We start from the raw sequence: 21,662 nt of genomic DNA, 5'->3' as shown, positions 1-21,662 counted from the left end.
ATTTGTTTCTAGGTTTTCTATTTTGTTCCATTGGTCTATGTGTCTGATTTTATGCCAGTACCATTCTGATTTGTAGTATAATTTGAAGTCAGGTAATGTTATTCCTTCAGTTTTATTCTTTTTGCTCAGGTTTGCTTTGGCTATTCTGGGTATTTGGTGATTCTGTATAAATTTTGGGATTGGTTTTCCATTTCTGTGAAAAATGTCATTGGTATGTTGATAGGTATTGCATTGAATCTGTAGATTGCTTTGGTTAGTATGGACATTTTAACAATATTGATTCTTCCAATTCATGAGCATGGAATATCTTTCCATTTTTGATGTCATCTTCAATTTCTTTCATCAGTATTTTACAGTTTTCATTGTAGAGATTTTTCATTTATTTGGTTAATTCCTAGGTATTTAGTTTTATGTGTGGCTACTGTAAATGGGATTTTTAAAATTTTCTTTTTCACATTGTTTACTGTTGGCATATAGAAATGCTGCTGATTTTTGTATGTTGATTTTGTATCCTGCAACGTTGCTACATTTGTTTATCAGTTCTAATAGTTTTTCAGTGGAGTCTTTAGGTTTTTCCAAATATAAGATTGTATTATCTGCAAACAAGGATAATTTGACTTCTTCCTTTCCAATTTGGATGCCCTTTATGTCTTTCTCTTGTTTAATTGCTCTAGCTAGGACTTCCAGTTCTATTTTGAGTAACAGTGGTGAAAGTGGGTGTTCTTGTTGTATTCCAGGTCTTAGAGGAAAGGCTTTCAGTTTTCCCCCATTCAGTATGATACTAGTCGTGAGTCTGTCATATATGGATTTTATTACATTGAGGTGTTTTGACTATTTTTTTTTAAAACAGGAAGGGATGTTGGACTGCATCAAATATGTTTTCAGCATTAGTCAAAATGATAATGTTTTTTGTCCTTCATTCTGTTGATACAGGGTATCACATTGATTGATTTGCATATGTTGAACCATCCTTGCATCACAGGGATAAATCCTAATTTGTTGTTGAATTTGGTTTGTTGGAGTTTTGTTGAGGATTTTTACATCAATAGTAATCAGAGATATTGGCCTATAGTTTTCTTTTTTTGGTGTGTCTTGGGGTATAGTATCAGATTAATACTGGCCTTGTAGAATGGGTTTGTAAGTATTCCATCTTCCCCTATTTTTCAGAACAGTTTGAATAGGATTGGTATTAGTTTTTTAAATGTTTGGTAGAATTCATCAGCAAAGTCATCGGTCCTGCACTTTTCTTTACTGGGAGACTTTTTATTATGGCTTCGATCTTGTTACTTGTTATTCGTCTGTTTGGGCTTTGGAATTGTTAATGGTTCAATTTTAGTAGATTGTATGTATGTAGGAATTTATCCATTTCTTCTAGATTTTTCCATTTATTGGTATGTAGTTGTTCATATCAGCCACTCATGATCCTTTGAATTTCTGTGATATTAGTTGTAATGTCTCCTTTTTCATTTCTGATTTCATTTATTTGGGTCTTCTCTCTTGTGTTAGTCTGGCTAAAGGTTTGTCAATTGTGTTTTTCTTTTCAAAACAACTTCTTGTTTTGTTGATCTGTTGTCTTTTTTTAATCATTTCAAATTCATTTATGTCTGCTCTGATCCTTATTATTTCTTTTCTTCTCTTAATTTTGCATTCAGCTTGCTCTTGCTTTTTAAATTCTTTAAGATGCATCATTAGATTATTTATTTTAAGTTTTTCTTCCTTTTTGATGTAGGCATTGATGGCTATAAAGTTTCTTCTTAGTACTGCTTTTGCTGTGTCCCATAGGTTTTGGTATGCTGTGTTTCCATGAACTTATTTCAAGGAATTTTTAAATTTTCTTTCTGATTTCTTCATTGACCCACTTATTCAGGAGCATATTGTTTAATTTTTGTCTGTTTGCATAGTTTCCAAAATTTCTCTTGTTATTGATTTCTAGTTTTATTCCATTGTGGTCAGGGATGATGCTTGATATTTTTTCATTTTTAAAAAATGTTTAAAAATTTGTTTTGTGACCTAACATGTGGTCTGTCCTTGAGAATGATCCATGTGCTGAGGAGAAGAATATGTATTTTGCAGCCATCAGATAAAATGTTCCATTTTTTCTAAAGTGCAGATTAAGACCAATGTTTATCTGTTGATTTTCTGTCTGGAAGATCTATCCAATGCTGAAAGTGGGGAGTTGAAGTCTCCAGCTATTATTGTATTTAGGTCTATCTTTCCCTTTAGCACTAATAATATTTGCTTTATATATCTGGGTACTCCAGTGTTTGGTGCATATATATTTACAATTGTAATATCCTCTTGCTGAATTGACCCCTTTGTCATTATATAATGACCTTCTTTGTCTTTTCCTACAATTTTTATCTTAAAACCTATTTTGCCTAATATAAGTATAGCTACTCTTGTGGTTTTTTGGTTTCTGTTGACATGGAATACTTTTTTCATCCACTTATTTTTAATCTGTGTGTATCGTTATAGGTAACATGTGCTTCCTGTAGGCATCAGATCATTGGGTTTTGTTTTTTATCTATTCAGCCACTCTATGTCTTTTGATTGGAGAGTTTACTCCATATACATTTAATGTTATTGTTGATAAGTAAGGACTTACTCCTGTCATTTTGTTATTTTTTTCTCTCGCTCTCTTTTTTTGGCGGTCTGCTCTTCCTTTTTTCCTTTCTTCCTGTCTTCCTTTTAGTGAAGGTGATTTTCTCTGGCAGTAGGCTTTAATTTCATGCTTTTTAATTTTTTTGCGTACCCATTGTATGTTTTTTTATTTGAAGCTACCATGAGGCTTGCAAATACTACCTTATAACCCATTACTTTAAACTGATGATGACACTGATTGCATAAACAAACAAACACACAAAAAGAAAACTAATAAAAACTATACAGTTTAACTTTGCCACCTAACTTTTTAACTTTTTGTTGTTTCTCTTTATGTCTTATTTCATTCTCTGTGTCTTGAAAATTCATTGTAGTCATTATTTTTTGGTTCATTGTTTAGTGTTTCTACTTAAGATAAAAGTAGTTTTCACACCGTAATTACAGGGTTATTCTGGATTTTCTGTGGGCTATTACCAGTGAGTTTTGCACCTTCAAATGATTTCTTATTGCTTATTAATTTCCTTTTCTTTCAGATTGAAGAACTCCCTTTAGCATTTCTTGCAAGACAGGCCTGGTGTTGATGAAATCCCTCAGATTTTGCTCGTATGGGAAGGTCTTTATTTCTCTTTCATGCTTGAAGGATATTTTTGCCAGATATACCATTTTAGGGTAAAAGTTTTCTTCCTTCAGCACTTTAAATATGTCATGCCACTCTCTCCTGACCTGTAAGATTTCCATTGAAAAGTCTGCTGCCAGATATATTGGAGCTCCATTGTATGTTATTTGTTTATTTTCTCTTACTGCTTTTAGGATTATTTATTTATCTTTGACCTTTGGGAGTTTGATTCTTAAATGCCTTGAAGTAGCCTTCTTTGGGTTACATCTGCTTGGTGCTCTATAACCTTCCTGTCTTTGAATGTTAATATCTTTCTCTGGGTTTGGGAAGTTCTCCAATATTATCACTTTGAATAAACCTTCTACCCCTAACTATTTCTCAACCTCCTCTTTAAGGCCAGTAACTTTTAGATTTGCCCTCTTGAGACTGTTGTCTAGATCTTGAAAGCAGGTTTCATTGCTTTTTATTCTTTTTTTATTTTGTCTTCTCAGTGTGTTTTCAGATGAGATTGGGTGCGTTTGGGGCGGTATGGCTGTAGACTCTCAGTGTGTCTTCGAATACCTGTCTTCAAGCTCGTTAATTTTTTCTTCTTGACTAATTCTGCTCTTAAGAGACTCTAATGCATTCTTCATTACATCAATTGCAATTTTCAACTCTAGAACTTTTGCTTGATTCTTTTTAATTATTTCAATCTCTTTGTTAAATTTATCTGATAGAATTCTGAATTCCTTCTCTGTGTTATCTTGAATTTCTTTGAGTTTCCTCAAAACAGCTATTTTGAATTCTCTGTCTGAAAGATCATATATCTATTTTTTTTCCAGGACTTGTCCCTGGTGCCTTATGTAATTCATTCGGTGAGGTCATGTTTTCTTGGATGGTCTTGATGTTTGGGCATTGAAGAGTTAGATATTGACTGTAGTCTTCACAGTCTGGACCTGTTTGTATCTGTCCTTCTTAGGAAGACTTTCCAGGCATTTGAAGGGACTTGGGCCCCAAACCCACTAACACTGTGGTTTTTGCAGACTCATAGAGGTATTGCCTTGGTGGTCTTGGATAAGATGTGGAAGAATTCTATGTATTACTAGGCAGAGACTCTTCTTTCTCCTTTCTCTCAAAGAAACAGAGTCTGTCTTTCTGTGCTGAGCCACCTGTACCTGGGGGTGTGGTGATGCAAACACCCCTTCGGAAACCACCACTGGGATTGTGTTGGGTCAGACCTGAAGCCAGCTCAGCACTGTATCCTAATCTTCAGGGCAGTGAGTTCCCCCAGACCCTGGGCATGTCCAGAGTAGCTGTCTGGAAGCCAAGGATTAGAGTCAAAAACCTTAGCAGTTTACCTGATGTTCTAATTTACTGCAGCTAAATTGGCACTCACACTTCATTACAAAGTCCTTCTTACTCTTTCTTCCCTTTTCCACAGGCAGAGGAGACTCTCCCTGTGGCCACCACCACTTCTGGTCCACGAGGGTTCTTCTAGGTCACTGCCAATGTTTACTTAAAGCCCAAGGGCTCTTTTGTCAGCTTATGGTGAGTCCTGCCAGGCCTCAGACTCACCCTATAGGGCAGTAGGCTCCCCTCTGGTCCAGGACAGATTCAGAAATGTTGTCCAAGAGCCTAGGCCTGAACGCAGAGACCCCGTGTGCCTGCTTGTTTTTTCCTACTGTGGCCGAAGTGGTACCTTAGGTGCAAGGCAAAGGCCCCTTTACTTTTCCCTCTGCTGTTTTCAAACAGAAGAAGTTGTTCACCGTAGCCACCACAGCTGGGACTGTGCTGGATGACCCTTGAAGCCAGCATTTCTCAGACAACAAGGCCCATGGTGTACTCCCAGTTATTGCTGCTGCTTATTTAGGCTCCAAGAGCTCTTTAGTCAGCAGGTGATGAATCCTGCCAGGACTGGGTTCTTTCCTTCAAGGCAGTGGGTTCCCTTTTGGCCCAAGGTACATCTAGAAATGTCCAGGATTTAGGGCTTCACAACTCTGCCCAGTGCCCTGTCCTACTATGGCTGAGCTGACATCTAAGATGCAAGACAAAGTCCTCTTTACTCTTCACTCTCCTCTCCTTAAATAGAAGGGAAAAGTTACTTTTGTTGTTGTGAATTGCACTTGCACTGCCTGAGGTTGGTGGAGGAATGGCATAGGCACTTCGTTAGCCATATCTGCCGCTGTCTCCCTAGGTCATGCGCCAATCTTGTCTACTGGCTCTAAGCCTAGCCTAGCACTAGGATTTGCCTAGGAATTGCAGTCCTTGTGTCCTAGACTGCCTTTCAAGTTTACTGAGGATCCCAGAGCACTTCAGCCTGCAGTGCAGTGGTGAGGCTTGTTGAGAGACTCACATTCCATGGGTGATTCCCTTCTGGCTGGGCTGGTGCAAATGTCCCCTCAATGTGTGGGCACTGGCGGAACCCCACACAGCTTTATTGTCCACTCTGGCAAAGCAGCACTGAGTTCAATGTAAAGTTCCTCAGTCACTGCTTTCTCCCTTCCTAAAATGCACAGATTTTCTATCTGCACAGCATGGCCACTGCCATGGAATGGGAGAGGGGCAGCGCCCGTGATTCAAGACTTTCTCTTCCACCCTCCTCAGTGTCTATTTCAGCAGTAGGAAGTTAAAACCAGATACTGTGATTGTTCACTTGATTTTTGGTTCTTGTGACAATGCTCTTCTGTGTGCAGATAGTTGTTAATATTCGGTGTTCCAGTGGGGAAGACAAATGATGTAGGCTTATATTCTGCAATTTTGCTCTGTCCTTCATCTCTTATTCTTTTTATTGCATTATTGTATTAGTCTGTTCTCCTAATTAAGTCTCCTATTAGTATGTCTCCTAATAAAGACATACCTGAGGTTGTAATTTATAAAGGAAAGAGGTTTAATTGACTTATAGTTTCACATGGCTGGGGAGGCTTCACAATCATGGTGGAAGGTGAAGGAGGAGCAAAGTCACATCTTACATGGTGGCAGGCAAGAGGAAGTGCCGAGCCAAAGGAGGAAAAGCTCCTTATAAAACCATTAGATCTTGTGAGAACTCACTATCATGAGAACAGCATGAGGGTAATTGCCCCCATGAGTAAATTACCTCCCAGCCGGTCTCTCCCATGACACATGAAGATTATGGGAACTAAAATTCAAGATGAGATTTGGATGGGGACATAGCCAAACCCTATCAATTATGTACTTAAAAAAATCTATCATCCAGTTTAATACCCCTTCAATAGCTATTTATATGTTATTAAGCCATTGATTTTAAATATTATATTTTCTATTTCTAGAATGCTATTTGATTCATTTTCACATCTGGTCAATTTTGATAATTATTCTTTTGTTCTAGTTCTTTCATCTTATTTATCACATATGTATTATATTCTATACCTGACCATTTCAATATGTGAAATTTTTGTGAGTTTTATTCTTTTGTATTTTTATTTACTAATCCTTGTTCATGGTGGGATGCTTCCTTTCACATTCAGTAATTTATAATTTTGAATTTGTATTTCTTAGAGCTTCATCTGCTGGAATATTTGGAGGCCTGAGTTGAAAGTGTACTTTTACAGAGGGGATTTATATCTGCTTTTTTCTAAGCATTTATATCTGCCTGTATTACTAGAAACCCAGGACCACTTTATTCTACATTTTGGATGAGGATCTGGAGTTCATAGAGATTGTACAATTTTGCCTTAAACTTACCATGTGAGTGTAGAATTGTGGTTAGGCATTCTTAGGGGGATTTACTTTTTTCACTCTATCTACAACTAAGACCTAGTTAGACATCCTTTCCCCTTCTGTGCAATGTGTTGTTGTTGTTGTTTTAATTTTCACTGAGGATGTTCTTTAGAAGTTTTAGAGTTTTGTAGGGGTCCCTCATTTAAACTTTCAGCTTGCTTAGACTTCAGACTGTCTTCTGCCCCACTGCCACTCGTACCTTGAGTGGCTGGTTAAAGTCCAGGCACTAGTCTAGCATTGGTTGACAGACTCCCTGGAACAAATACCTGTTCCAAAGCTAACCCCCTGGGGTTCATACTTTCTGTCCTCGCCTTTCCCTAAGGCTGTGGGGAATTCTATTTCTTTCCCCTCGCAATCCTGAATTAAAATATTCTTTGGTTTGTTTTCAGAATGAACTGAAGTATGCTATATCAGGAAGGATTTATCTGAAATCAAGTCCAAAATTTTGTGAAAAGTGTAAGGGAATCAAATTAGTAATCAGAAATCTGGTTGAAAAACAGCATGAGAATGAGCAAAATTAGATTATTTCAAGGAATATTTTTAAGGAAGGGAAAAAATAAAATGTTCATGCCCCACATTGAAATATTTTCTTAAGAGCCGAATCAGTTTCCAGTTTCTCATTTCCTTCAAAACTGTGCTGTATATTTACAAATTATTTTTTTGTTTCCATTTTTTTCAGTATCTACATATCATGCCAGTCAGATTATAATTCAAGGGCATTTCAGTCATTCCATCTTGAAGATACAGTCAGATCACATTGATATTCAGTGTTCCTCAAGCCTGCTTAATAATGTACTTATCTACTTTAGATTGGGTTAATTATATAATAGACTTTTATTAAAGAGTTTTGGCCAGGCGCAGTGGCTCATGCCTGTGATCCCAGCACTTTGGGAGGCTGACGTGGGCGGATCATTTGAGGTCAGGAGTTCAAGACCAGCCTGGTCAACATGGTGAAAGCCCCTCTCTACTAAACATACAAAAATTAGCTGGGCGTGGTGGCGCATGCCTTAATCTCAGCTACTTGGGAAGCTGAGGCAGGAGAATCGCTTGCACCTGGGAGACGGAGGTTGCAGTGAGCTGAGATCATGCCACAGCACTCCAGCCTGGGCGAGAGAGCAAGACTCCATCTCAAAAAAGAAAAACAGAAAAAAAAAAGAGTTTTTACATTGTATGTTATTTTATAGTGATATTTCTATTTCAGGTTGAGATTAGAATCCCACTTTAGAGATCACATTTAGTATAGGGCAACAAAATTGCTACCTTGACACTATTCAATTGAAAACACACACAGACACACAGACACACACACACACACACACACACGACCTACTGATACTTGTTAGATTCTTGAGAGAAGAAGAAAAAGAATGAAAAAAAAAAAAAAGAGACAACTAACATTCGTGTAGCTCAAAAAGCTTCATCTTTGGAATCTTCCTTGAGCTTCCTGAAGGCAGAATCAGTCTTATCCTGCACTACTCACAAATTGTCCTAGTTTTTCATCCTGTGTTCTTCCCTCCCTCCACTTCTTGCCCTCAGAAAAATTCCTAAACATCTATATTTTCAAAGTACTTTGCTAGGCATTGGGGATACAATGGTGAAAAAATAGATGTGGCCTACATTTCCGCTGAACTTACAGTTTATTATGGGAACCAGACAATTACATAAAATTATAATGTGGTATATGAGTGCTGTGATAAGGAAAATATAGATTGATGTGGAACATCCAGGAAAAACACTAAACTTCAGGGGTCAGGGATGTCTTTATAAATGCAATTATTTTAAGCTAAGATTCGAGATATCGTACATGTTTATGGTTCTTAAAGCATACTCTTTAGACCTACAGAATCACAGGGGAATTTGTTAGAAATGGAAATTCTATGGCCTAATCTCAGGCGACTGAATCAGAAACTCTGGGGATGGGGCCCAGAAGTATGTTTTTAAGACAGTTTCTCCACATGGTTCTTATTCATGCTGAAAATTAACTAGTGGTAGGTATATCTAGATGGCTAGATTAAGAGTGCTAGGAGTTAGATCCTGCCAGGCAGAGAGACCAGCCTTGGAGACCCCCTGTGGAAGAAAGCAATATGAAATGATTATGAAAGTGTTCAGGGGCCAGGCGCGGTGGCTCACGCCTGTAATCCCAGCACTTTGGGAGGCCAAGACGGGTGGATCATGAGGTCAGGAGATCGAGACCATCCTGGCTAACATGATGAAACCCCATCTCTACTAAAAATACAAAAAAATTAGCTGGGTGTGGTGGCAGGAGCCTGTAGTCCCAGCTTCTCGGGAGGCTGAGACAGGGGAATGGTGTGAACCCTGGAGGCGGAGCTTGCAGTGAGCTGAGATCGTGCCACTGCACTCCAGCCTGCGCCACAGAGCGAGACTCCGTCTCAAAAAAAAAAAAAAAAAAAAAGAAAGTTCAGTATGCCTGGAGCATAGGGTATGAGGTTTGGAAGAGGGTTGTGATGGGCAAAGGATGGGACGGAGAGGAAAGCAGGGAGAAAATATCATCTGGGTTTCTTAAGCCACATTAAATTTTTTTTGGCTTTTAAATTTATTTTTATTTTTAATTGCATGTCATAATTGTACATATTTAGGGGTACAGAGTGATATTTTGATACATGAAATATAGTATATAATGATAGGGTAATTAGCATATCTATCACCTTAAACATTTGCCATTTATTTGTGTTGGGAACATTAAAAAATCCTCTCTTCCAGTATTTGAAAATATATAATCAATTATTGTTAACTATCATCACCCTACTAAAGAATACTAGAACTTCTTCCTCCTATATAGCTGTAATTTCGCAGTCAATCACCAACCTCTCCCTATCCTCCTCTCCCTGCTCCCCTGCCCAGCCTCTCATAACCATAATGTTACTCTCTACTTCTATGGGTCCAACTTTTTTAGCTCACACATATGTGAGAACATGTGGTATTTATCTTTCTGTGCCTGACTTATTTCACTTAACATAATATTCTCCAGGCTCATCCATGTTGCTGTGAATGACAGGATTTTATTCTTTTTTATGGCTACATTAAATTGTTTAGATTTCATTTATCATAAATATTTACAGACAGCCCCCAACTTACAATGATTTAATTTAACAATTTCTCGACTTTAAAATGGTGTGAAACTGTCGCATTTTTGATATGCTTCAAATTTTGAATCTTGATCTTTTCTCAGGCTAGCGATATGCAGTATATGAGATAGTCAATGCTTTATCATAAAATAGGCTTTGTGTTACATGATTTTGCCCAACACTAGGTTAATGTAAGTGTTCTGAGCATATTTAAAGTAGGCTAGTCTAGGCTATGATGTTTGGTGGTAGGTTACCTGTGTTTAAATGCATTTTCTTTTCTTTTTCTTTTCTTTTTTTTTTTTTTTGCGATGGATTCTCACTCTGTCACCCAGGCTGGAGTGCAGTGGTGCGATCTCGGCTCACTGCAACCTCCACCTTTCTGGTTCAAGCAATTCCCCTGTCTCAGCCTCCTGAGTAGCTGGGATTACAGGTGCATGCCACCACGCCTGGCTAATTTTTTTGTATTTTTAGTAGAGATGGGGTTTCACCATGTTGGTCAGACTGGTCCTGAACTCCTGGCCTTAGGCAATCCACCTGCCTTGGCTCCCAAAGTGCTGGGATTACAGGCATGAGCCACTGCGCCCAGCCTAAATGCATTTTCAATTTAAGGGATACTCAGTTTATGGTGGCTTTATCAGGAGGTAACCCTATTGGAAGTCAAGGAGCATCTGTGTTTATACATCTGTCTCTTCAAATAGAATGTGAATATATGAGGGCCAGGATGATATTTCCATACCTCAGAATATCCATCAGCTACTCTTGGCCTATAATTGGTGTTTAATAAATGCATGCTGATTAAATGAGCTTCTTGCATAGTCACAAAAGCCTTGTGAGGTGGGCATTACTTCTCTTATTTTATACTTAAGGAGAGCTAAAGCTAAGAGAAGGTGAAATACTCACATAAGAAAGTCAAATGGCTATTTATTTATTTATTTTTGAGATGGAGTCCCACTCTGTCACCCAGGTTGGAGTGCAGTGGCATGATCTTGGCTCACTGCAACCTCTGCTTCCTGAGTTCAAGCGATTCTCCTGCCTCAGCTTCCTGAGTAGCTGGGATTACAGGCACATACCACCACCTGTGGCTAATTTTTGTATTTTAGTAGAGACGGGGTTTTGCCATGTTGGCCAGGCTGGTCTCGAACTCCTGACCTCAGGTGATCCATCCGCCTCAGCTGCATCTGGCCCAAATTTCTATTTAGAAGCAGAGGTATTTTACAATCCCCAAGCCGATGGATTTTGCTTTTAGAATCTCTTCTTTATTCCACATGACCTTTCTGTTAGGGAGAGCTGAGATTACAGCAAATATGTATGAATATGTAAAATGTGAGCATTTTATTTCAACCTGTAAGCATTCCAAATGCAACCGTGCTTTCTTTTTTCTTACTTTTTTTTTTCCAGACAGAAAAGGGGAGTGCACTTCATGAAGCAGCTTTGTTTGGAAAGGTGGATGTTGTACGAGTTCTGTTAGAAACAGGTAACTATTGTGATTCTGCATGGAGCTTATCCTGACAGATAACATTTCTATTTTGGGAATAGACAAAGGAAAATGACACAGTTTTCTTCACAAATCACCCTCTTGCCTTTACTCTAAAATGCAGATATGTATTCATATTATGTAGAACTGAGTTTCAGTATTTAGATAACATTGATATCAATGTGCAACTTCTTTTATGCAATAGATGTTTTAAGTACAAACCTCTTTGTTATTACAATTTTATGCACTTAAGTACTTTAGAGATGAACTACCAAAAGAAAAAGGAAATTTCTGCCTTCTGTAAGAGAGAGGAATTGATCCTTGAGAAATTTTCACAATTGCTTGATTTATTGAAGAACATAATAGTTTTTCTGTGTTTTATATTGTGGACTACGGTAAACAGAGATTTGAGTTCCCTCTCTTTAAGGTAAATTGTCCTTCTAGTTAGTTCATTAACTGAGTAGCTATTGTTAGTAGGCTACAGAAACTTATTTTAAAGGGAACCTTTTAAAGGGAGTGCTTTGAAGGAACAATAAAGTTGGCTTATTTATTTTCATATGTGCATTCTGATTGAGATGAAATAGAGCTAGAATTAAGGTCAGATTTGTTTTAAAGATCAAAAGGCATGGGTACAAATTCATGCTTGTAAACAACTGATGGAATTTTTCATGTTATGGACTATAGTGTGTTTATTTTCCTCTGTAAAAAAAAATGAAAAACATTGGCAGACTGTTGTATTGTGATTGTATTTGTACACAATTTAACAAAGTTAAAATTTCATTTATATTTAACTTTGTCATGCAGTGTGGTGATATAACAAATGATTTGAGGAAACCACCTAAATATTAATATGTGCTGGTTACACATTCCTATGCAAATTTAAACATGTATTTAATAATCTTACAATGAACTAACATTTGGGACCAGATCCTGTAAACTGGCTTTTTTTTTTTTTTTTGCAATTATGTGTTTGGAAAATTCATAATATTTTTAGGGCAGTGAAAGCTATTTGCTGTGTTAAAATAAGTTCTTTCTTACAATATATATTTCCACAACTAAAATAATAACAGGTGTTTTAGTTACACACTTCAGTAAGTTTGCTCGTCAGGTGGATGATTAGTGTGACTGACAAATACAATCTTGCATAAATAAATATCATAGAGTATTTGACCTTGTATTTGGATAAATTCTTTGTGGACAACAATTCAAAATAATCATGCTTTTTCAACTTTGTGAATATTCAAGTGTTCTAAGACTGTTCTTATGTTACTTACATGGTACATGATTATAATTTACTAAATATTTTTACCATATTGTACAGAGAATATAAATCACATGACCATTATACTTTAGGAATTCACATTCTAAATCAATAATATTTTTCAGTGTGATAGTGTGCTGTTGAGTTAAATAGTTATAACCCAAAGATACCATAGGGTCAGCCGGGCGTGGTGGCTCAAGCCTGTAATCCCAGCACTTTGGGAGGCCAAGGTGGGCAGATCACGAGGTCAGGATATCGAGACCATCCTTGCTAACACAGTGAAACCCCGTCTCTACTAAAAATACAAAAAAAAAAAAATTAGTTGGGCATGGTGGTGGGCACCTGTAGTCCCAGCTACTCAGGAGTCTGAGGCAGGAGAATGGCGTGAACCTGGGAAGCGGAGCTTGCAGTGAGCCGAGATCGCGCCACTGCACTCCAGCCTGGGCAACAGAGTGAGACTCCGTCTCAAAAAAAAAAAGATATCATAGGGTCCTGAAAAACAATCTTAAACATTGGGTCAGTGCCCTTTAAGAGTTAATTGATGATCAAGAATGTTCCTAATCTTTGGTAGCAACAGGCCCCTGCCTTCTTTCTTGCTAAAATCTTGTGTGAGTGTGTGTGTGTGTGCGCATGTGTGTGTGTATGTGTGTGTGTAGAACTTAATTTTTTAAAAATCACTTTCAATGCTTGGTCTGTATATGTCTGAAATTACAGCAGTTAGATAGTGATAGTATCTTTTGAGGATACTTCAGTGGTGTATATCTAGTGAGTTTTTCTTTTTCTTTCAGGAATTGATGCCAACATAAAGGATAGCTTAGGTAGAACTGTCTTGGACATTCTGAAAGAACATCCATCTCAGAAATCTCTCCAGATTGCAACACTCTTACAAGGTAAACAGTATTGAATGATGGATGAGTTTGCCTTAAAGTTAAGATGAGATTAAAACTGTTACAGTTTTCTTTTGGATTTTGAGTTAGTGTTTACTTTTGAACAAACTTACTAGTTTTATTTTTTTCTGGTAGACTTTTAAACTAAATAATAATACCTTTTAATGTTTTATTTTTGTTTTTCAACTACTCAGTAAGTATTTTAAAGAAGTTAAGGTATTTATTTACTCATTTGATAATAGAAATATTTTTAAAATTCATATTTATGTAGTAAATATGTAGTTATGAGCTGGAAGTTAATAAGGCTATAAAGTAGTGATGATTAAGTGTTATTTCACATTTGAATAATACTTTCAGCATTTTCAGGGATTTGCTACTACTTTGGTTTCTATGACCCTATGAAGTAACATAAGTCAGATATTATTTTACTTTTGCACATAAGGGAAACTGAGGCTCTGAGAGATTTGATTTGTTCAAATTCATGTATCTTAAGTGGCAGAGCTTGTATCTAAATGCTAGATTATCAATAATAACAAAAATTGTATTTAGCCAAAAGAATACAGATTATTTCCTTCCTAATCCAATGGTATAAAATAACTCAGTCTTACCAGCCTTAGTTTTTGGTAAAAGTCATTTAAGTGCATTTGTTGTTAGTGGCAGTCATTAGCTCTATTGAAAGTTTGACAACTGTCTAGGTACGACTTTTGTTATTTGCAGCTTGCATACTTCTCCACTTGAACTAAAAGTTTTATAACAAAATTAGACTTAAATGCTTTCTCTTCCTGTTTGGTGATTAGGCCTGACATGTAGCATGTTACTTAAAAACCCCAGATGTTTTTCTCTCCTTTAGCTCCTACCCTGTTCAGCAGTGATTATCTCCTACACTTGTTATGGATTGGCTGCAAGTATGATAGAGGAGGGTGGTGAGATAGGTTTTATTAGGTGTCAGTTGGGAAGCTGAAGAACAGCATTGTTTTGCAGGGAGATAAATGAATTAAAACCAAGTCAGGCAGGGAACATGTAGATACAATAGTCAACAAAGGCCAAGGAGGAGTAAAAGGAATAGATGCACTATATGTGGCCATTATGCTCTCTTCTCTATTTCCAAAATATTTCAGGGAAGTTCATGCCCCTACAATTTTCTTATCAATAAAGAAGTTAATTACAAGTCAAATGCATGCAGAGATGAATCAGAGAAAAATCCCATCATAGCCTTTTATATAAATTAAAATTAAAATTAAATTGAATAAAAGCTAAAAAATAAGAGTGGCACATACTATTTTTTATTAGTCTTCTCCCTCTATGCACTTTGTATTTCATGTTGGACTTTTGACTCTCACTGAATTTTTTTTTTTTTTTTTTTTTGAGAAAGAGTTTTGCTCTTATTGCCTAGGCTGGAGTGCAGTGGTGCAATCTTGGCTCACTGCAGCCTCCGCCTCCCGGGTTCAAGTGATTCTCCTGCCTCAGTCTCCCAAGTAGCTGGGATTATAGGCACTTGCCGCCATGTCTGGCTACTTTTTGTATTTTTAGTAGAGAGGGGGTTTTACCATGTTGGCCAGTCTGGTCTCCAACTCCTGAACGCAGGTGATCCAGCCACCTTGGCCTCTTAAAGTGCTGGGATTACACGCATGAGCCACAGCGCCCAGCCTCTCACTGAACTTTTTTTTTCTTTTTGAGAGGGAGTCTCACTCTGTCACCCAGGCTGGAGTGCAGTGGCGCCCTCTGGGCTCACTGCAAGCTCTGCCTCCCCGGTTCACACCATTCTCCTGCCTCAGCCTCCCGAGTAGCTGGGACTACAGGCACCCGCCACCATGCCCAGCTAATTTCTTTGGTATTTTTAGTAGAGACGGAGTTTCACGATGTTAGCCAGGATGGTCTTGATCTCCTGACTTTGTGGGCCACCCGCCTTGGCCTCCCAAAATGCTGGGATTACAGGCGTGAGCTACCGTGCCCGGCTGCCTCTCACTGAACTTTTAAAAACTGAAGCATGGGCCAGGCGCGATGGCTCATGCCTGTAATCCCAGCACTTTGGGAGGCTGAGGTGGGTGGATCACGAGGTCAGGAGATCTAGACCATCCCGGCTAACACGGTGAAACCCCGTCTCTACTAAAAATACAAAAACTTAGCCGGGCGCGGTGGTGGGCGCCTGTAGTCCCAGCTACTTGGGAGGCTGAGGCAGGAGAATGGCGTGAACCCAGAAGGCAGAGGTTGCAGTGAGCCGAGATCGCGCCACTGCACTCCAGCCTGAGCAACAGAGCGAGACTCCGTCTCAAACAAACCAAACAAAACAAACAAACAAACAAAAAAACAAAACTGAAGCATGTGTGTAATATGTCTTTTGGGAAAAGCAAAATAAATGTCACCCACTAGAAAATGGGGTGTGACATAACCATGGACTTTTTAAAAACATACTGCATTGGTTTATATAAGATGAAATGTTGTTACATGGGAGTAACTATCTTTGCTCTCCTAAATGGTCAAGATTAATTAGGTATGTTAATTTGTGGTAGGGCATACAGTACATCTTTGAAGTTCTCTAATTACTGGCAAATTTCAGAATGTGAACACGTCATCTCTGTTCTTTGCATTCCTGGATTTCCCTGGTAGAAATTATTTGAATGGTATGAGGACATACTTGTTTGGCATGAGAATACAAATTTTCTTTATTAGATTTTAAGAAAAAGGTTCTTGAATAAAGAAGTATAAGCAAATGCTCTGTATGAAAAGGGATCTGTTCATTTAATCTTTATACAGAGGCTACAAACTAGCCACTTGTGGGCTGAACGCTTTGGCAGATAGCACACATGCTTTGTATATATCACATATTTTGAGCCCACATTGTGTTTCCATAAAAATTGAATTAGCTGTTAACATTTAAAAATCTAGAATTTGGCAGGGTGCGGTGGCTCACGCTTGTAATCCCAGCACTTTGGGAGGCCGAGGTGGGCGGATTACAAGGTCAGGAGTTCCAGACCAGCCTGGCGAACATGGTGAAACCCTGTCTCTACTAAAAATACAAAAAAAAATGAGCCGGGTGTGGTGGCACATATCTGTAGTCTCAGCTAGCTTGGGGGGCTGAGGCAGGAGAATTATTTGAACCTGGGAGGCGGAGGTTGCAGTGAGTCAAGATTGCACCACTGCACTCCAGCCTGGGCGACAGAGCGAGAATCCATCTCAAACAAACAAACAACCAAAAAGAAACAAAAAAAACCCTAGGATTTTAGCTCAAACTCTGGAGTTTTGGTTTCTCTAAAAGAAGTTTTATTTCAGGGATGAACTTTAGATTGGTCATTTGTTCTCTGGTTCAACATGGTCTGTGAGGCTGAATATTGGTTAACATTTATTTCTACATTCAGATGCTGTTTTCTTTATGGTTAAGAGAAAAGTGAGATGTTTTCTTGTCTTATATTTATTTGGCTTTGCCACCTATTAGCTGAATGAACATGGACAAGTTAATAATACTCCTCCTTTACTTGTAATCTTTAAAATTTAGTGCATGTGTCATAGTTTTGTAAGGATTACATGAGTTAATTTATACAAAACACTTAGAACAATGCTGGGTCCATAGTAAGCAATATTTAAGTTTAAGCTGCTATTCCTAATATTATATCTGTATCAAAACTAGAAAAATGAAAAATAGGCTGAGTATAGGACATTACTTCAAGAATAATGGCAATGAACATTATTTCTTTGTGGAAATAAAGTTAATATGCAAATTATGCTTATGTTACAAGATTACAGCACCATTTTGAAATGAACTTATTCCATTTCATTCGTTTATGTTACCTGGCTGGTTGTGGTATCCATCTGAATTTGACATTCCTGTTTTGGGGATTAAATCTATTCAAAGCATCTTTCAGACAGTTTAAAATCTTCAGATGGAAAATAAGGAGACCAAGGAGTTTATTGTATCTTCAATAGGTGAATTTATTTTTAAGGAAAGAATGTTTTAAGTTTAGGTTTTAGAAGAAAGGGGTTCAAGAGTTTCTCCCAAATAATCCAGTGTCTTTTTTTAATTACAACTTTAATTAAATAGCTCATCATGGCGTTCTTTTGATATGTTTGGTTTTTTGAAGTTCTTTTGAAAACTTAGGATATATTTAGGATATGAAAAAATAAATGAAAAACTGATTACCAGAAGTAAAACTTAAAATTTATTGATTTTAAAATAAATGAATTCAAGTATGTAATCTCAAAAATGTATACACACAGAGTATTTAGAAGGCGTGGGAAGATCTACAGTCCTCGAAGAGCCTGTACAGGAAGATGCAACACAAGAAACACACATTTCATCTCCTGTTGAGTCTCCTTCCCAAAAGACCAAAAGTGAGTACCTAATTATAAAGCCCTGGAATCTATACTAGACTTGTATGTACAGTTGTGAAAATTTCAAGTCTAATAGGTTATATCCTATACTCTATATTTCATCCATTTATAAGAGCTCCTGTTACTGATTAGGGCTTCTCAGCCCTGAGATACAGTAGTGAGCAAAGCAGAAAACTATCCCTGCTGTAATGAAGTTTATCTGGAGTATATGTTTCTTAAATGTGTTTTTTTCTTAAATGTGTTTTTCCCCAGCTTTATTGAGGTATACTTGGCAAATAAAAATTGTATATATTTACAGTGTGCAACTTGATATATACTTTGTGGAATAATTGCCAAAATCAAGCTAATTAACATAGCCATCATCTCACATAGTATTTTTTATTTTTTATTTTGGAGAGAACACTTAAGATCAACTCTCTTAGCAAGTTTCAGGTATACAATAGAATATTATTAACTATAGTCACCATGCTGTATTTTAAATCTCCAGAATTTATTAATCCCCCATAACTGAACCTTTGTACCCTTTGATCAACACTTTCCCATCTCCTCCACTCCCCAGCCCCTGGCATTCACCATTCTACTCTCTGTTTTATGACTTTGACTTTTTTAGATTCCACATGTGAGATCATGCAGTATTTGTCTTTCTGTACCTGGTTCATCTCACTTAGGATAATATCCTCTAGGTTCATCCATGTTGTTACAAATGGCAGGATCTCCTTTTTTAAGGCTGAATAATAGTCCATTGTTTGTGTAGTGTGTATATAAATGTATACACACATTGCATTTTATTTATCCATCCATCTGACAGTGTATACTTCAGTTGTTTTCATGTCTTGGCTGTTCTGAAGAATGTTGCAATGAACAGAAGGGTGCAGATATCTCTCCAAGATACTGGTTTCATTTCCTGTGAATAAGCACCCCAAGGTGGGATTACTGAATCATATGGTAATTCTATTTTTAATTTTTTGAGGAATCTCCATACTGTTTTCCATAGAGCCTTTAACATTTTACATTCCCATGGACAGCATACAGGGTTCCCTTTCTCCACATCCTCAGAAACACCTCCTATCTTTTGTCTTTTTGAGAATAGCCATTCTAATAGATGGGAGATGATACCCCATTGTGGCTTTCATTTACATTTGCCTGATTATTAGTGATATTGAGCACCTTTTCATATACCTTGGGTCATTTATGTGCCTTTTTTGAAGAAATGTCTATTCGAGTCCTTAGCCCATTTTAAAATTAGGTTATTTGTGTTTTTGCTATTGAGTTATGTGAATTCCTTATGTATTTTGCACATTAACCCCTTACCAGATCTATGGTTTGCAAATATTTTCTCCCATTCCTTAAGTTATCTTTTTAGTGTGTTGATTGTTTTATTTGCAGTGCAGAAGCTTCTTAGTTTGATCCAATCCTGCGTGTTCATTTTTGCTTTTGTTCATATCCAAGAAATCATTGTCCAAACAAATATCAAGTTTTTTCCCTATGTTTTCTTTTAGGAGTTTCATATTTTCAGGTCTTAATGTTCCAGTCTTTATACTGTTTGCATTGATTTTTACATAGGGGATGAGATAAGGGTCATATTTCATGCTTTTGCATGTGGCTATCCACTTTCCCAACACTATTTATTGAAGAGACTATCTTTTCCACATTTTGTGTTCTTGGAAACCTTGTGAAGAGCTACAGTAATCAAAACAGTATGGTACAGGCATGAAAACAGACATATATACCAATAAAACAGAATAAAGTCCAGAAATAAATCCATGCATCTATAGTCAGCTGATGTTAAATATGTTTTTATGTCAGAATAAAAATATTAAAATCTGGATTGTAACTGCTGGGCATTTTTTTCAGAATAAATTACAGGTATAAGGTATCTTTCTGAGACTGTTTAGAAATGTGCATATTTTCATGTAATCTACAAAATCTTCATGTTTGACAGATGATGCATATTGTTTGTTTCTTTTGTGTTTTTACTTTATATCATATACCATAATTCTTAAGGTACTGATTACCTATGTTATTATTTGTTTAAATAACTTGTACTATTTCTGTTTATTGAACCTAGGAAGAAGTTTCTCAGCACCGTTTCAAATTTGCTAATGAATTCTGTCAGTGAAGTAAAATACCAATGAAATATTATGGAAATTAAATCCTATAATAAGTGAAGCTTTGGGAATTGTAATTCCAGATGCTTTTATGTACTATGTATACATAACCTTACAATAATTATTTCTATTTTGAAAAAGAATAAAAATAGGCAAAATTATAATCTCTTTTGCCCATTAATATTGTTGTACTAATTATGGTTGAGTACCTTGTTTTCAGCAGAATAGTGTCTGACTGCTTAATCTTGTTATATTTTGAGTTCTATCACCATAGCAGTCATATTTTTATTGCTTAACATTAAGTTTTAACAATAGCCTTTCTTGAAACTTCTGAAAAAATTATTCTCATAGGTGAAACCGTCACTGGAGAATTATCAAAACTCTTGGATGAAATAAAACTCTGTCAAGAAAAGGATTATTCGTTTGAAGACTTGTGCCACACAATATCAGACCACTACTTAGATAATTTGAGCAAGATTTCAGAGGAAGAACTTGGGAAAAATGGAAGCCAGAGTGTAGTAAGTAAGGCGGGGGGGAATGAAGATAATGTGTCTGTCTTTGCCAGTTCAGTGTGTACACTTAAGAGGTATGGGATGTGGTGCATTATCAGATTCCGCCACTCTAAGATGTCAGTTTCCTTATTGCTCTTTTCCTGACGTTCTTTGGGGTTTTACTCGCAGTGCATGTGTAGGGGAAGGAGTGCTTTGACAGATCACTTCATGGTCTCTCTACTTTTAGACTCTTTCTTAAAAACATGGATTTTTGGTATTTGTTGTTGTTGTTGTTGTTGTGTTCCTTTAGTTTTACTGGGCATAATGATGTTGGTTCCCAAAAAAAGACAAAAACCTTCCTTTCGACTGTCTTCCCCATTTTCTCTATGAACTCAGACTAACAGAGCAGAGCCACACGTATAGTTTCCTCACTTCCTCCTGAAGTCATAGTAGGAGAGAAATGTGGAAAGTTCAGTCTGCATATTTTTATAATATTATGCAAATCCCAAGAGGTTTCTCTTTGATAAGCTCAGAATCTTAAGCATGAGTTAGTTCCTGTGACAACGCCTTTATGATAGTGTTCTTTGAAAATATTGCCATATAAAATATTAAAGGTTATGTGAGGCAGAAAAACAGATGATATAGTTGAGTAAGAGCAAGTATTTCTATTTATTAGGAATGAGAGTTTACAAAGAAGAAAGAGGGGAGATAAGATTAGAAGGATAGATTGAGGTCAGGCCATGGGTGATTCTCACTCATTTGGATTTTTATATGAACACAAAAGCAAGAAAAACTATAGAGAATAAATCAGTTTAATATTAAGATATTTAAACCTACTTTTTGTCCTGTAGAGGAAGGACTTATAGTATATACTGGTATTAAAGGAAATACATTATTCTGATAAGAAATCTGTAGTCACTTTTAGAACTTAATTTGTTACAGATATATCATACTTTATTCAAAAGCCAGTAATAGAGTGAACTGTGTTAAGTATGTCATATTATTTGTGAAAACTAAAAAAAAACTTGCTAAGTATAGTGACTGTCCATTATGAGAACATTTACTTAATTTAGTTACTTAAAGTAAGCTGTGACA

General features: G+C 36.9%; 1 protein-coding gene across 18 annotated transcripts in view; it reads left to right on the top strand.

Annotated features, from left to right (window-relative positions):
* ANKS1B (ankyrin repeat and sterile alpha motif domain containing 1B) overlaps positions 1-21,662 on the top strand; it is a 1,250,151-nt gene that overhangs the window by 191,421 nt on the left and 1,037,068 nt on the right. For 17 of the 18 annotated variants that reach the window (XM_006719514.5, XM_006719507.5, NM_152788.4 and 14 more), the window contains exons 5-8: positions 11,419-11,494; positions 13,544-13,645; positions 17,855-17,968; positions 20,428-20,594. In XM_006719514.5, coding sequence (XP_006719577.1) covers positions 11,419-11,494; positions 13,544-13,645; positions 17,855-17,968; positions 20,428-20,594 — 459 coding nt within the window. Of the gene's footprint in view, positions 1-11,418; positions 11,495-13,543; positions 13,646-17,854; positions 17,969-18,758; positions 18,893-20,427; positions 20,595-21,662 lie in introns of those variants that run through there. The other variant, XM_047429165.1, reaches the window with a different exon arrangement.

This window comes from Homo sapiens, chromosome 12, assembly GCF_000001405.40.
Source record: "Homo sapiens chromosome 12, GRCh38.p14 Primary Assembly".
Lineage (NCBI taxonomy): Eukaryota > Metazoa > Chordata > Mammalia > Primates > Hominidae > Homo > Homo sapiens.
Note: the sequence above shows the minus strand (reverse complement) of the source record. Positions and strands in the feature narration are given on the sequence as shown.